Source organism: Homo sapiens, chromosome 11 (assembly GCF_000001405.40).
Source record: "Homo sapiens chromosome 11, GRCh38.p14 Primary Assembly".
Taxonomy (NCBI): Eukaryota; Metazoa; Chordata; class Mammalia; order Primates; family Hominidae; genus Homo; species Homo sapiens.
In genome coordinates, this window is record NC_000011.10 from 33,506,653 (window position 1) to 33,524,484 (window position 17,832).

At 41.3% G+C, this 17,832-nt stretch overlaps 1 protein-coding gene across 9 annotated transcripts in view, besides 1 other annotated feature; it reads left to right on the forward strand.

Moving 5' to 3' along the window:
- KIAA1549L (KIAA1549 like) overlaps window positions 1–17,832 on the forward strand; it is a 297,995-nt gene that overhangs the window by 130,545 nt on the left and 149,618 nt on the right. The window lies entirely within an intron of this gene.
- Window positions 8,692–8,851: an enhancer, noted in NCBI's record as "active region_4579". NCBI's record gives its function as "activates an Ori minimal core promoter by ATAC-STARR-seq in GM12878 lymphoblastoid cells {active_cell/tissue: GM12878}" and the evidence as "EXISTENCE:reporter gene assay evidence [ECO:0000049][PMID:35858748]".

The window sequence follows — 17,832 nt, forward strand, 5'->3', positions numbered from 1 at the left end:
CTGCAGTGAGCTATGAGTGCATCACTGCACTCTAGCCCGGGTGACAGAATAACACCTTGCTAAAAAAAAAAAAAAAATTGAACAACAACAACAAAAAACATTCAGATGAAAGCCCATTGGAAGAACATAAAAATATTTGAAAAATTCCAAAATCAGGCTTTACTTGATATTTGGGTTCTACTTTTATAAATCTGTATTAAAAAACAGATTCAATGTCACAGTTCAGTTTGTCATGGAAGCCCCACCTCCCACCAAAACCAGGGCCTAGGTTAGTGGATGGGCCAAGGAGGGCATGGTGCTTAGGAAGAGTCCCAGGTTTGAGGCTCTTTGGCAGGGATGGGGATCAGCCCTGTTCAGTTTTGTGTACCAAACTCCTGAGCCACTCAGTCCAGGGAAAATACCAAATTGCTGGTAACCTAAATGGGAACCAGCAAGGTGTAGCAGAAGGAACATAGGGAGATCTGGGTTTTATTGAATCGTGACTCCCTAAAATACCACCAAATCCCTTGCTGCTAAGGCAAGGCCGAGTTTATTGCTTGCTGAGGTCAGAGTCAGCTTTGCCTTGATGGAGTCTTAATGTCTCAGAGGGTATAGAGTAAAATTGGGATATTTATGAGGTTTTGGGGAGTCTTCATGAGGATGGGGTGGAGCATGATATAAAAGCTTAAGATTAGTGGATACAGCAAAGCCAGAGTTTTGCAGAGACTTGGTTTGATGCTATATATTGAAAAACTGAGCAGTTGTAAATAGGTTTTTGAGAAGTTCTTGAAACAAATAATAACATTTTTGCAGCTTTGATCTTTCTGGCAAAGAGTTTCCTGAGGAAGAGCAAAGTCATGTTGATGACGACAATGGAATTGGAAAGTCCTGGCAGGGAAGTCAGCTGAAGAGTCATTTTAGCATAGACAGTAAGCTGTCTGGATACAGGCCGTTTTTGGTTCTCAGTCTGACCCCTGGCAGTAGCTTGCCAACTGTGTAACCAAGTCCTTGTTTGTGAAATAGAGATACTCCTCCCTACCTGACAAGGTATTTTTGAGCATTGAGTCATATGATATGTATACAGTACCCCGAACAGAGTAAGTACTCAACTATTAGTTCCTGTTCTTTATATGCTATCTCAAACCAAGGCTCATTACAAGCAAAATTGTATTATATTGATATATGACTCTGTTAGGGTTCGATTGCAGACAATTGAATTCACTCTAGCTAGTTTATGCTGAAATGGGATTTATTATACGTGTTAGTACTACATTTGCTTACTGACTCCATGGGAGGGCTGAAGAACCAATACTAAGTTGAACTTTCAGGAATAACTGTCAAAAACTATCTTGAAGGACTGGGCTGCCAAGAGAGCTGCTGCCTCTGCATAATCATGAGGCTGATGCCCAAGAATAGTGCTGCTGTAGCCAGGGTCCCCAGCAGCAAAACAGGTCTGCTGCACTCTGCCTTTCTCTGCACAGGACTTAGCTCTCAATCAAGATCTTGCGCAATGCATCTGCTCCAGGGAACCTAATTCCCACATAAAACCTCTGCTGCAAGGGCATCTGGGAAGTGTAGTTTTTGGTTATCCAGCCTCATCGTGCTAGAAGGGGGTTGGACTGGATGTTGAGCAAGCCAGTTGACATTATCCACCATAGCTGCTACTAACATTTTACCATCCAGCCACGGTGGCTTCACAGATAAGGGACCTCAGGCACTGGCCTCTTCTCTTTCCCCTTCCTTGTCATTTTACTGCCTGCTGGACTGTTAGCCTTAATGGGAGGAGAGGCAACTAGAGGAGCACAAATAAACTGCTCTTCTTTGCTCTTTACAGGCAAAAGAGGAAAGGTGAAAATGAATGGCTGCTGGTGTAATGTACAGAGCATTAGGGTAGAAAAATTACACCTGCGTGTGTGTACTTGGGTTCATTGTCCTTATTCTGCCTACCCCAGGCTTTGGGCAATGTACTTTTCCCCATGACCCAAATATAGTTCACATCCACGTTCACCTCATCTTGTTCTCAGCCCCGTCTTCCTTGAGTCATTCATTAATCATGACACATCACACAGTTGCATGAGAAGTAGGTACATTTACTGTGCATCTGGACCACCCTCTTGAAAATCCCTTTGAGACCCATTCTCTCAATGAGGAATGGAAAGCATCATGTTTGAAGAGAGTGGAAGCCTGGGTTTTTGCTGTAGGCCAGCCCATTTCCTTGCTCTGTGATCTTCGGCAAGTCATTTAACCTTTTGCTTCAGTTTCTTTGTGTATAAAATGAGACGGCTGGGGCATATGGGCCTGATGGCTTCCTTTCACTTCTTTGGTTCTGTCGTCTCTTTGGGGGAGTTCAACTCTCAAATGACAGTTGAGAAGGTGACTTGTTTTCTGAAGTGAGACCAGTGGGTTTTGCCACCTTTTCTGTGACCTTGACATCCTAATAAAGATTTTCACTGGCTTGGTTTCTATCACTCTTCTAGCACTTTCTGCACTCACTGCATTGTATTTCTGATGTTTTGTTGGCACTTCTGTCTTCCCCACAGTCTTTAAAGACAGCTCTCCTTTCTTATCTTCTTAGCTTTAGACCTTACAGAAAAGGCCAAACCTTCCCTCCATGGTTTGCAAACAGAAAACACCAAAGACATTTCTAGACCACACTTCTGTTTTAATTTGTGCATTTTACCTCTAGAGAGCCTTGTACTTGCTCCCTGCTTATTCTCATTCCTTACTCCATTACCAAAAAACCCAGCTTAGTTTATTTCCAGTGGTAATGGGACCATATCACTTAACATTTGGGATGCTCAAGAGGTACAAAGTCAAGCAAGCTCATGCGTCATTACAAAGATGAACTATTGCCTTTGTTAGGCAGCAGAAAGGACCCACTCGGGAAGTGAAGGTTAATGTTCGGTTTCATAGTGAAGTATAAAAAGGTCAGAAGGAGCCATAAAATTTTCATAGTGTTTATGCTGCCTCTTCTTGCTTGGCCTGCACTCTCAATTCCATCTGAGGCAGGAGGTTTATGATTTAGAGCCTTAGCTGATCTGCATAATCCATTAAAATGTCACTTTTTTAATTGCAGAAGCTATTCCTCTGAAGCATACACCTGCCGCTGCTGGAATTTATAGCCAGGACATGGTGTGATTTGTGTTTGGAATGAATGTAGCCACCTCTGCCATCCCAGGCTGCCCTCAATAATGTCCCTCTCATCATCCCCAGAAACTGAAGGCGAGTTGAAATGACTCCTGCACCACAGTGTTCCGTGTTCTCCTCCTGGTGCCTTTAGGGACTCATTTCTCTCTGTCAGTAATTGCTCTGCTGGTGCCACATTTCATACAGGGGAGAATTCTACACACAGCATCAAATGAGAGTGGGTTTTGAGGGAGGCTTTGGAACTGGCTGCTTTTAGCACATTGGTGATCACATTGTGCCAAGAAGCTGCCAAGGGAGCCTTCATTAGTGTGTGGCATGGGACTGGCTTGGAGAGTTTAGAGCAGGGCAGGATCTCTCACTCTCTCTCTCATGTCTCTCTCTCTTTCATATATCTCTCTCAGTCTCTTGATCTCTTGATTTCTCTTTCTTTCGTGTCTTGTTCTGTCACCCAGACTGGAGTGCACTGCTGTGATCTCGGCTTACTGCAACCTCTACCTCCCGGGTTCAAGTGATTCTCCTGCCTCAGCCCCCCGAGTAGCTGGGACTACAGGCATGCACCACCACTCCCAGCTAATTTTTCGTACTTGTAGTAGAGATGGGGTTTCACCATGTTGGCCAGGCTGGTCTTGAACTCCTGACCTCAAGTGATCCACTCGTCTCGGCCTCCCAAAGTGCTATGATTACAGATGTGAGCCACTGTGCATGGCCAGGACAAGGTTTGTTTCTAAGACCCCAGGACTGTTTGTCTCTGAAGTAAACAGATGTGGAGGACACTAATGTTGAACTCAGGCATCTGAGATGCTCTCCAGAAAGCCCATGTCCTAAAACAGGGGCAGGTAGCCCTGAAAGCAAAGGCATAGTGATGCTGGCGAGGACGTGGATATAGCGAGAAGAGAAGTAGGCTGAGATACTTCTGCAAATCACCTAACATGTGAGGGTGTGAGGCTGTGACCTCCTGGGGAGTAAGAAGAGAGGTGAGGCAAGTGCAGAGGCCGCTCCAGTGGGTGTTCCTCAGAGTCACCACACGTGGCCAGCCCTGGAGAATCTGACCCAGAAGACCTGGGTGGTGACAGCCAGATGTGAAGCCAGCTTTGAGAACCACTGGGATGGAGAAAGCAAGTAGGAGCAGCATGGTGCTGCAGAAAGGGCACAGGCCCAGGAGTCATGCAGACTGAGTTCAAATCCCACTCAGGGAGGTCAGCATTGGAAATTGTTTCCTCTACATTCTTTCCAAGTGTGCCTTCCTAGGCCTCAGAAGCTGGAAGGCTAAACATTAGTTTTCCATGGCGTCAGTACAGCTAGAATGTGGGCTAGGCTCAGCCAATCAGATGTACTTCTGTGATGCCCAGAAACAGAGGCCAAGCTTCTGTAGCTGCTGTTTCTCCAGCCAAGCACAGGCACGGCTGTGTTGGCTTTTGTCTGCAGTATCCCAATTTTCTGCTGTGACTTTGGGTGAGATCCTGGAAGGCTTGTCTCTAGAGGCTGTTTCTTCAGGCCTCCTAATCAATTCCTTAAGCCATTTATTATCCCTAGTAAACCCTTCCCTGCTTATACTGGCTTCTCTGCAATGGAAGTGTGACCAATGCATGGGGATACTGATATCTTACTCAGGTGTTGTGGGAGGATTAAAAAGATAACATATGTCAAATATCTGTAAGTAACTGGCCCTCAGTAAAATTAATTCCTTTTCAGAAAGGAAGTGTATTTCCAATGGGAAGATGCTGGGAAAGGCCACTGGAGGAATCGGTGATGCAATGTTACCAAATACCTGTGTACAGTTCCATCAAACATTGAAATGCGTGGTTGCCCAGGTGAATCTGAGCTATCTGGTAAAATGCAGAGCCTTGGTGCCTAGGATGGATGACTATGAGGTCTAAGTCCCAAATATGCACTGACCTTAGGGTGAACTGTAGAGCTCATGGATGGAATTTCCTTGCACAGATGGCACATGTCAAGAACCTGGACTTTGGAGTCTGACTGCACAAGCTTAAGTGCCAAGTGTTACCCTCTCTAGCTTAGGTTAGTATCTCACATCTCTGGACTTTAGCTTTCCCACCTGTAAAATGGGGGTATTCAGAGGACCTACCTTTCAGCTGTAAGGACTGGACCAGGTGATGCATCTGAAAGGCTCAGCTCTGCCTAGCACATTATGAGTTTGTATACAATAAAGTTAGCTGCGATTAGGTTGAAAGTGATCATTTATCTAGAGCTTCCTTAGAGTAAGAAATTTACTTCTGGTCTTTTTCTACAAGCTAGTTAGCCGTTTCTCCTGGATAATCTTGATAAGGTACTACTGCAAGTCTATGACTATCTCAGAATATTCTAATTTTAGCACTCTAGAGGGTCACGTAAAATGTCAGTGGCCAGATTGTTGATTATGTGGGAGACATTTTTATTAAAAGATGGTCAGAGTTGTCTATTTAAAAATAGACAAGGTACAAAACATGGACATCCTTCTTAGAGTGATTGGAAGGTTAATAATGGACATAGAAAATAATTTTGCAGCAGTGGGTTCTGTTTTAAAAATAAACACAATTAGCTTTTTAATTGGCTGACATTTAAAAAAGTTTTTACCTTTTAATGCTGCCATTATGGCAGTAATTAATAAATACACAGTTTTAAAAAATGGTTACCATGTTCCAGGTAATTATTATTATTTTTTGAGACAGGGTCTCACTCTGTTGCCCAGACTGGAGTGCCGTGGTGCAATCTCGGCTCACAGGAACCTTGATCTCCCAGGCTCAAATGATCCTCCGACTTCAGCCTCTGGAGTAGCTGGGACTACAGGTACCTGCTACCACCCCCAGATAACTTTTATATTTTTTGTAGAGATGGGGTTTTCCATGTTGCCAGGCTGGTCTCCAACTCCTGGGCTCAAGTGATCCAACCTCCTCGGCTTCCTGAAGTGCTGAGATTACAGGCGTGAGCCATTGCGCCCGGCCCCTGCTCTAGGTAATATTCGAAATCCTTTTAGTGCATTATCTCCTTCAGTTCTCACATCAGTTACATGAACAAGGTAGTTCCTAGGCGACAACACTGAGGCACGGAGAAAAGCAATTTGCCCAAGGTTACACAGCAAATAAATCTGAAGCTTGGGTTTTAATCTGAGTCTGTCAGATTCTAAGGCTCATGTTCTTACCCACTGAGACCAAAGACAGAAAAGAAAGTGGAGAGAAAAATTGCACAGGGTTGAGAAATCTGAGAGCCTGTAACCTTTGGCGGTGATACCTTAGCTTGGGTCCTCTCCCTTGATGATGTGGTGTAATCAACCTCAAGATACAGGGACAGAGAACATCAGTGGTGCCTTCTCCCAGGCACTCTCCACACAGTGGTCAGGAGTGTCAGCTGGGAAGCTTTCCTTTTGGCCTGTGAGGTGTGTGGGACTGTACTAAACTGTTCACAAATAACCACAAAAATGGGGCAAAATGAAAATAAAACAAATATTTTTCCAGCTAAATAGAAGATTTGGTGGTAGAGAGTGGAGTCTTCTCATGGAGGAATGGGTGTTTTTCCTCACGGAGGTAGAGGTGGCGATGGTTTTTTAATCATACATCAGGTTGAGATGGTTGATGTTGTCTGCAGGGAGTCTCTGGTTGCTAGTGACACTCATATTAGCTGAATCAGAGTACATCGTGGCATGTAGATCCTGGAATCCCAGAAGAGAACGTGCCACTGGGCTTGGTGGGAGAACAACCATTCAGTCCAGGGTCAGCCACCTCTGTTTCTTTTCTTTCTGTTTCTTCTTCTCTCCCCTCCTTTTATTCCATCTCCCTCCAAATTTCCTCATTTTCACTTCTTTCTGATCCTCCCCTTTATGTGTATCTGAAGACTTTCTGTGGATCCATGCTGCAAGTGGCAGCTTGCAGCCCAGTGTCCCCTACACAACTAGCCGCAGCTCTCTGTGGCCCAGAGACAATCTGACGGCTGTGAGGCCAGAAGTGATTGGCTTCTCCTGGGGCAGACGTTCACTCTTGGGCCAGTTGGCCACAGGGGGTGGTAGCAAATGAACTTCATGTTTGCAGGATGGGGCATTTGTTGGAGGAGGGGCTGTGTGCTAGATAGATGTTCCTGGACACCAGTGGACAAAGTGATAACCATTTATTTGTCATCTACCCTCTATAAGACCCTCTACTGTCTGAAAATTAAAATGAATGCTCCACTGACTCTTCCTAGATTATTATGCTCCTACCCCAATTTAAGGTATATGGAGAAGCAGCTGTCTAAGGAAGTGAATGACAAAGGAAGATGATGCTACAGCTCCCTCTGCACCGGTTACAAGGTTACCTCAGAGAGAAAGGTTGAGTCTTGTTGCAGCATGAGCTATACAATCCTTCCTTCCTGTTCCAGATATCTCTTTGGAGGAATCTGGTCTACCTAAAGATTGACAACCTGGAAAAGCACCAGAGGCTTATCTCATTGAAGATTAAGCATTGAACATGGTTTTGGAGTAAACTACACGAAGAATAAACTCAACAAAACTAAGTAGTATTTTATGCAAAGTCATTGAAAAACACTGAAACAATGAAAAAATTTAATTTGGAGAATTCGTTTCCCAGAATTTGTTGGGGGAACCACGGACTGATCAACCCTTTGCAAACCACATTCTTTTTTGACGTCTACACTGACTCATGCTTGGTGACATCTCCACAGGGTTTTCCATCAACATTTTCATTTTCTGTGCCAGATTAGGAGGACTTCATTGAAAATCAGTTCCTACAAAAGTTCTTTGTCTTAAAATAGTTTATTTCTCCCGGCTTCATATCATTTTGCTCTCATACAAAGAGGCTACAGAGCAGTCTTTGCACAGGCTTTGCCTAAGCACTTCCTGGTGTCTTTATTTAATCACAGTTTTATGAACTCTTCATATACCAACCAGCCAATTTTGCAGCCTCAAAGTCATGCTCAGGAGACAGACACTGATTTTTCCTGTAGTCAGTTTTAAAGGCTTTACCATCTGGGATTTTTTAGTAACTTGTGAAAAGCAAATGGATGCCATGTTTTCAGGATTTTGCAGCCCAGACTCTAGGGTTGTTGTACATGAAATGCATGGTAATAATATAAACTTGTCTCACGTTTGCTTATGAAGCTAAGTCATCAGAGTAGATTCTAAGTAGCTGATATCTTGTTTAATTTGACTTATTGCCTTAATGCTTACTTGGTGCATAAAATTGATATTTTAGTGAAAAGTTTTGCATATATGAATTTGAGTGTTCTGAGAATATTAAACTCATAAGAGGCCACCATTCTCATCTCCCCCTCCCCCACAGCAATGTTGCTATGTCCATAGAAATTGGAAACCAAGTAGGATTCAGTTGACTTCACCAGGGGGTCGTATTTATTTGCAGTGAATAAAAGCCACCTGAGCTGTGGAACCCAGTGGTTTGGAGTACAGCTAAGTGCCTCCCCCACCCACCAAAATGTGGAAGCAGGGCAGCTAATATCTCTTTCTCTTCTTAAGATTACATGGTCTCTTCCCCCTACAGCTCCTGGACCTGTTCTGTTCTCTCTCTCTCCATACCAGTGTTCTCTGTTTTGGCATGTATGTGGGCCAGACATGGCTTCCTGTTTTATGTCACTTCCCTAGTCAAGCACCTAGTGTCTTCAGGCCCCAGTTTCAAATTCCTGGGGAAAAATCCAACTAGTTCAAGTTGGACGAGTTATCCATTTCTGGTCCAAGCATCTGTGGCCAGGAAGCCACAGTCATATGACCAGCAGTCTGCGCAGCTGGGGCTGTGAGAGCAGATGCTCAGCCATGGGGGAGATGACACAAGTAGGTTTCCCCACGTGGGTGGTGAGCAGGAAATCGTCAGCAAGGGAATCATGAGTATCTTTGATTCATCAGGTGTGGAAATGGTTACTTTGCATAGCAACTGCAGCGTGGGATACAAGTCTGTTTTCTGGCCCATCTCTGTCAATCCTGCTGATCTTTTCCTCTTTTTCATTTGGTTTCTCAATCAGTCTTTAACCTCCTCCCTTTGCTTCTCCTTGCTTCATTTTACCTCCTCTATCTCTGAGTCAGTGCTCCAGAAAAGTAACGTGATGCATCTGTTGGTAGCAAGAACACTATTAGAGGGAATCCTCTAGTTCTGGTGCTAGACCTTTGGCAAGTCACTCAAGCATTATTGGTCCTAGCTTCATCTGAAATTGAATGCAGTTGGACCAGATGCTAGAAGAAACCTCAGAGATCACCTTCCCCAGAGATGCTAAACATCTGTCCAAATTCATGCTGCCATTCTGTACTACAGCACCCAAGGCAGACATTGCTAATTGATCCCAGAACCCTTCCCTGCCAATCCAGGACTGTGCTTAGAATTCTTCATAACAGTCTAGGCAGCCACTACCAATCAGCTGGAGGTGATTCTTTTTTTTTTTTTTTTTTTTTTTTTTTTTTGAGACGGAGTCTCGCTCTGTCGCCCAGGCTGGAGTGCAGTGGCGCAATCTCGGCTCACTGCAAGCTCCGCCTCTCGGGTTCACGCCATTCTCCTGCCTCAGCCTCCCGAGTAGCTGGGACTACAGGCGCCCGCCACTACGCCCGGCTAATTTTTTGTATTTTTAGTAGAGACGGGGTTTCACCGTGTTAGCCAGGATGGTCTCGATCTCCTGACCTCGTGATCCGCCCGCCTCGGCCTCCCAAAGTGCTGGGATTACAGGCGTGAGCCACCGCGCCCGGCCTGGAGGTGATTCTTGAGATGTGATCAGCTATATCTGAGCGAGAAATCTGAGCAACCAAATTACCACAGCTATATCTGAGCAAGAAGTTGAGGCCCAGAAGTCTACCAACTTTTCTTACTCCTATCTTCCTTACAGGGATGGATATGTGAAGCCATTATTCCTAATTCTCTGAAGTTATGAGGGAAAAAATAAATTCCCTCCTCTGCCTTTTTCTTCCTAATTATTCAGTCTTAAAACAAACAAACAAACAAAAAACACCTGTTTTCTTTCTGACCAATCCAACCTTTAATTTCTCCTATGGCTGAAGAATTGGCAACTTTTTTTTTAGCAAAGGTATGGAATCAGCCACATTTGTCTAAGCTCCCCAGAATTAGACTGGCTCACTTTGCAACTGTGTGGTGGCAGGCAACAGTGAGAGTTATTTTACTTTTTGAAAATATGTTTTCTGTAGTTATATTTAGACTGAAGAAAGATCCTTGCATTCTCAGCTCTAATTATATTCAATGTGCCTAATTGCTATTACTCTCAAAGATGATATTGAGTGAGGTCGCATCTTCAATTCACGTTTCTCATTTATTTTTACAAATGACACAGCTTTGGAACATCTGCTCTGCCTATAGAACACTCATTTTTGCAGATGATGCAGCTGTAATGGCTGGTGGCAGAATTGTTTCCTCGATGACGATGCTAGGGTATGTCTCTCCCTTTCCGCCTTTCCTGCTAAGATGCTGTTTTTAAATTCACCTTCTGGAGTTCATTTCCCCAAGATAGATGGGTTCACACTTCTAAGGCAGCATATTTCTATTATTTCTGCTGAAGGGCTGCCTCCTGGAGTAGTTAACAATGGCAGCCACCCTGTGGCAGGTCTACCTTATGTAACGCCTCTGTAGCTGGGGGAGCTGTAGGTCTGGGAAGAAAGGAGACTAATGCAAACATAAAGATGAAGGGAAACTTGCCAAGATCATACCTAGGGTAATATCCATATCCTGAGTGCATATGAGCCTAGAGTTGGCTTTCTAGTAAAAAGAATCCTTGGTGTTGATAGAGAATGTGGCCATTATGCCTTATTCCCCCTTGGAAAGGGGTAGTGCCCTAAGCAAATGAGGAAGAGTTGGGTTCATATAGACTGAATTAAACTCCTTTATGTCATTATTATTAATGTTTAATTCCAATTTCAAAATGTTATAAGTTAATAAAAGCGAGGACATAAATGCTTCTATTTCTGGAATCAACCACCCATTTTTAGGAAATACAGAGGACAGAGGAACATGTTGAAATGAGTCATGAATGTGTATCACCACAGTCCAGACTGTGGGAAACTCTGCAGGTAAAAGGGCTCAGGCTCTTCTTCAGGAGCAAAAGGAGTGGAAGGGGAGAACTTAGAGATTAAGAAACTTAAAAGACATTGCAGGCAGGCGCGGTGGCTCACACCTGTAATCCTAGCACTTTGGGAGGCTGAAGTCGGTGGATCATGAGGCCAGGAGTTCAAGACCAGCCTGGCCAAGATGGTGAAACCCCATCTCTACTCAAAATACAAAAATTAGCCAGGTGTGGTGGTGGGCACCTGTAACCCCAGCTACTAGGGAGGCTGAGGCAGATAATTGCTTGAACCCAGGAGGCAGAGGTTGCAGTGAGCTGAGATTACACCATTGCACTCCAGCCTGAGCAACAGAGCAAGACTCTGTCTCAAAAAAAAAAAAAAAAAAAAAAAAAAAAGACATAGCAAAGGGAAAATTTTTTTCTTGGGCAAGATTAATCTATGTCTACAGTGGTAAAACTACTGAAAAAATTTCTTGTTTTAAAACATGCTAAATTAGCAAGTTCTTGATTGGATTTCAGCTTCTCATGCTACAATTGGGAAACTGAGGCTTAGATAAAGTGATTTGCTTTACATGTAAATGGGAGCATGTCGGGGAATTGCAAGCAGAATCCAGATCCCCTGGCCCATTGTGTGATGTTTTCCCTCTTTCCCTTGAGTATGATCCTGTACTATACATTAACTTTCTCTTTGAGTTCATTGAAATAGATAAAATCACAGCAGAGTCAACTACATATTGGAGACTACTTTGTGTTCATCTGTTCTTTTAATTGCTTTTCAAGGAAAGTTGGCTCTGGCTTTGTCCCTTGTATAGTGGCTGTAAACCTAAGAACTATGTCATACTGTGACTTTTTAATTCATAGAATAAAGTTACTATTTTGCTTTCTACTTGCTATGATATTATAAAGTCTGTTTTATTCTTTTGTGCTATTAAAATGTTCTAAAGTTGCCATTAAAGCTGTAAAATCTAACTTTGGTTATTAAATTTTATTTTCCCCTAATAGTTCTTCTGGCATTGATTTAAATTACAGGTTGAGTATTCCTTATCTGAAATGCTTGGGAATAGAAGTGTTTCAGGTTTCAGATATGTTTTGATTTGGGAATATTTACATTACACTTATCGAGTATCCCAAATCTGGAAATCTGAAATCCAAAATGCTCCATTGAGCATATCCTATGAGTATCACATTGACACTCAAAGACTTTTGGATTTTGGAGCATTTCAGATTTTGTATTTTTGGATTTTTGGATTTGGGATGCTCAACCTGTACTCATTTTCACATGTGTAGCACATTTTCTTGGGGAATCCAATCTTAAATAGACTGGATGTTTTGAACATGAGAACTGTCTAATGTAGGTTAGCATGAAAAATAACCAGTTAAATACTCAGAATTCTGAATAAAGATGTGTATCACTACCCTGCAAGTGATCTAGCCAACAGATTTACCCTACTGAAATTAATTTAGTGTTAAATTATTCAATATTTCAATCCATTTTTTTTGAGAGAGTAGATTTTAAGGAAGACTCTATAATAGAAATGTTGATTTCTATATGCTCCAGTGATATATATTTGTCATAACTTATTTTTATTTTTGAGAAGAGCCAGGATTTCAAGCTCAAATACAAGTAATTAGCAACTTAACCAATGTGCTACAAGAAGCATTTGATTTCTCTTGGTATTTGTAAGAAGTCAACAAAACATGTCACTATTTCACCAGCAAATGGCTGTAACAATTATTTACTGTGAAAATAATAGTGTTAACAATTACTTCAGGGTAGGAGATAGAATTGTTTGTTATTCATCTTGAGGGTAGGTAGTAGTTTATGTTTTTAACTTCAAGAAGCTGTGCATATATAATGATACTGAACAAGAAGGGTGTAAAATCACAAGCTATATAAAATTCTGACCTCAGAACAACTGTTCTTTCTTTAGAGGGGGGTACATCAGAGAAGGAGAGCATTTTCCATCATTTAAAAAGTCTTCATTTAGGCAGTTTGTCCTTGGCCATTCAGACAAGCCCCTCACAACCTTTAATGCCAGAATGTTCTGTGGAGGCTGCCACTCTGGTGCCCTCCTCACATTTCCTCTTTGCCTCCCCGACCCCAGCAGTAAGAGGTACGAAATATCCTTCTCTATGATACTTACCTATCAAAGGAAATATCGGGTCGCCATCTTTTTTTTTTTTTTTTAACAACTTTACTAAGGAATGACTGACATACAAAAAGTTGCAGATATTGAATGTGTATAACTTGATGTGTTTGGAAATAGGTATACCATGAAACCATCAAACCATCATCACTATCCATGCCCTGAACTTATCCACTATCTCCCAAAGTTTCTTCTCCCTTCCTTTTTTTTCCTTTTGTGGTAAGAGCACATAACATAAAGATCTAGCGAATTTTTAAGCATACAATACAGTGTTGTGAATCATGGGCCCTATGCTATACAGTAGATCTCCAGATCTTATTTATTTTGTATAACTGAAATATTGTATACCCTTTGACCAACACTTCCCCATTTCTCTCCCTCAACAGCCCCTAGTAACCACTATTCTACTCTCTGTTTCTGTGAGTTTGGCTATGTTAGATTGCACATATAAGTGAGCTTGTGCAATATTTGTCTTTCTGTGTCTGGCTTATTTCACTTAACATAATGCCTTCTTCAAAAAAAAAAAGGTAGTTCATTGATTTTCAGACTTGGAGCTCTATGAGCTCATGGACCAGTGAAATGAAAAATTTCAGAAGCTCAGTTTAGATTTACTAACTTCTCATTTGGTCAAGTAAGGGCATTAACAAAACAATAGCTACACATGCTGTCATTATTGTTTAGAAAACAAAGGAAATATTGACACTAAAATGGAGGATTATCCATTAGACCCAGAAAGGCAATTGGTGGACATACACCCCCCACCCCCAACACACACACACACACACACACACACACACACACACACACACACACACACACACACTCCCTCTCTCTCCCCCTCTCTCGTAATTGTTTTTTCTTGTTTTGTCTTGGTTGGGTGAAAACTTTGCATCAAGGATTGAAGTTTGAACTGGCATTCAGAAACCTTGCATTGAGTGTTTTGTTTTTAAAAAGTAACATCTCAGCCTGGTGCAGTGGCTCATGTCTGTAATCTCAGCATTTTGGGAGGCTGAGGCAGAAGGATTGCTTGAGGCCTAGAGTTCTAGACCAGCCTGGGCAACAGAGCAAGACCCAATATCTACAAAAAAAAAAGTACAAAATTCACTGGGCATGGTGGCACATGCCCGTAGCTCTAGCTACTCAGGAGGCTGAGGTGGGAGGATTGCTTGTAAAAGCCCATGACTTCCAGGCTGCAGTGAACTATGATCTCGCCACTGCACGCCAGCCCAGGAAACAGAGCAAGACCCCGTCTCTTAAAAAACGAAGCATCTCTAAAAGGTAAACTCTTCATATTTTCAAAAGAATATTAAACACCTTGGGGTAGGGACCTCATCTTACGTGCTGCTCTGTAGTGAGGCAGGATACAGTTGCGGTTAAGAATGTAGACTCTGGGGCCAGACAGCCTGAGTTAAAATCACAGCTCCACCACTTACTTACCGACTGTATGACTTTGGGTAAGGTTTTTAACTTTTCTGTGCCTGCATCTGCATCGGTAAAATGAGAACAAGAATTTGTCCCTTCCTAATAGCATTGTTGTGAGTCTTAAATGTGTTCACATTTGCAAACACTTAGAAAAATGCTGGACTGTAGGAAGTATTCAGGAAGTTTCATGTCTGGCATGTGGCAGGTACTCAGCAGGCTTATTGAATGAGTGTGGAAAGGGTAAGTTTCATGTATACAGTAAATACTTTGACTGTGGGTTCTTGTCTTTCTGGTAGTGGCAGACACACGTGGCATCTCCTCCCAGACTCTAGCAAATGATATATGTCTCTCTTAGGCCTCTCTTAGACAAGAAAGTTCTCTGGACTGGCTAAGCCACATGACGAAAGTACCAGCATTCTGGTTCTTTCTCTCTTTGTGGGCACCCCTAGTCCTGATCAGACATCTTGATACTCTGTTGCTAATCACAGATTGGTCTGAAGGAGAATGGAAGGATAAAGGAAAATCCCATACTGAAAAATCATGTCTAATGATATGGTTATTACTAGGTAAGCTGAGGCATTAGGAGATAGAAATAGAACTTTCGTTGATGGAGCAAATTTAAATTTAATGTAGATAGACCTTATTCTTTTATGTCAAATGAGAGACAGTGTAGCCTCAGTTTGTGAAACATCTAAATTATGGAATTTTTAAAATAAATGCTATTTTGATATGACTATATATATAAACACTAAAGGCAAGTAAACTATAAATGAAAATTATTTGCTATAAACATATTGTTATCTTTTTGAGTTTGGATGTTCTAAAGGGCTTGAAAATTATTACTTAAATATTTTCTTTTTTACAGTCTTAGAGGCAATCAGTTTAATCATTCATTCCTAATAAAGTTGGGCTGTAATTTGTTTTTATAAAAATCTGAGTTAACAAATCTTGAAATAGTGATATCATATTAATGGCGTTAGACTTCTGCAGTAAAACTTACATCTAATCAGTCATCGAATATGGAATTAAGAATTAATAATAGTATTCGTTATTAATATTGACAACATATTCTGCTTCTGTGGTCCCAAAATAGATACCTGCAGGTTTTTGGTGCCAAATGGTAAGAAGAACATCAGTACCCACGATATATCACACAGTCTTTTTCAGTAGACCACTTTTCTTGTGTGTTTCTGGTCATGGGAGAAAATGATCAAGTACTGATATTAACATCTTACCTAAATTAACTTAGTGCCCCAAGAAGGCATTAGAACCAATCAGTATAATAATAATTTATGCCTGTAATCCCAGCACTTTGGGAGGCTAAGGCAGGAGGATCACTTGAGGCCAGGAGTTTGAGACCAGCCTGGGTAACAGAGAGAGACCGTCTCTACAAAAACCTTATTTAAAAAATTAGTTGGGCCTGGTGGCGTATGTCTGTAGTCCTAGCTACCTGGGAGACTGAGGCAGGAGGATCTCTTGGTCCTAGGAGTTCAAGGCTGCAATGAGCTATGATTGCGCCACTAAATTCCAGCCTGGGTGACAAAGTGAGATTCTCTCTCTCAAAAAAAAAAAAATATGGTCTTTACATACATTTGTTATAGCATTTTACAGTTTTCTTGGTGCACATCCTTATGTTGACTCATGTGAGTGCATCAGTAGATGAGTTCATGAATAAGCCTGGTAAGATATAATCTGAAATATGACAAAAGCAGAATAATTTGTCAGCCATGGAATGACAAAGAGTGTGTTTTCTGATTCTACAATGGATTCTGTCTACCCATCAGTTCTTTGTTTTCTTCTCAGTGTCTGAAATTGCTAGGACAATGACTTTAACTCTGGAATTCCCTCAAAGTGTTCTTCAGAGCTGCAGTTCCTTGGGATATTAACAGGTATCACACAAAAAAGAAACAAGAAGAAAGAGTTCTGCAGTCAACTCATTTGGGGATTTTCCAAGTTAAATAAAACTTTCGTTTACCACAGGACTTTTCAAAGCCCTTAGTGTATGCGTATGCCCTGTGAATCTCCCATAAGAGATTTTCTAAACTGCTTTGAATAGAGAACCCCTTTCCCCCCTCATATCTATTTATTGGAACATATGTCTTGACATGATTATCTTTGCTTATTCTTAATTTTAGAGAATGTCAGGTTATCTGAATGCTCCTAATATACTAGAAGGATTATTTTCTTTTCAATGTAACAAAATTCTCTGTGAGATGCAAAATGAATGAGACATTTTCTGCCTATCATGTACCAATGTAGATGGTACAAGGCTAGGATTACACATCATAACCTTTGAGAAAACACTGAGTCCTGAGTTTGGCGTAGGATCTTACTACTGGGTCCTTAAATGCAGTGAAAAGTCTTACATTCGTTTGTGTGTATGTGCTTATGTTGACTGTTGTGGACTTGATAAAATTATTACGTATTAATTGACAATTTATGTGTTATTAAATAATTTATTAAATGTACACACATAATTTTTATATAATTGCACAGATGTGATCACAGGTTTCTGTTTTTTATGGCGGTCTTCCTCATGCCTCCTTCTACATTTTTGCTTGGCTGCATCATATTTATTTATGTACATATTTTGATCATTGTTTTATTTATTTAGTAAATCTTGATTGGATTTTGGTACTAACTCAGTACTGGTTTCATAAAATGAATTGGGGACATTTCTGTGTATTTTAAAGGCCTGAATTAGTTCAATAACATTGGAATTACCTATTTAAAAAAATAAGATAGAATTCAGCTGAATATATCTGATCCTCCTACCTTTTTCTATGGTAAGTGGCTCCTTTTTCCTATGTTAATCTGTCTGTTTAGGTTTTTCATTTCTGGATTGATTTTGATTATCGACATTATTCATTTCCTCTAGGGTTTCAAACTTTTTGCCAGAGTTGCAGGTGGAATTCGCTCATAATTATTTTATTTTCTTCTTTATCTGTAGTTGCCTCCTTTCTCATTCCTAATGTCTTACACTTCTGTTCACTCTATTTTTTTTTCTTAAACAGGCCTATGAAAGATTTACCTATTTTACTCTTTTAATTTTTCTTCCAAAAGACCCAAAGAGGTCTTTTGAACTTATTTATCCTTGCTGCTACTATTCTTTGTGTTATAATGCATTAGTTCCAGCTTTTATTTT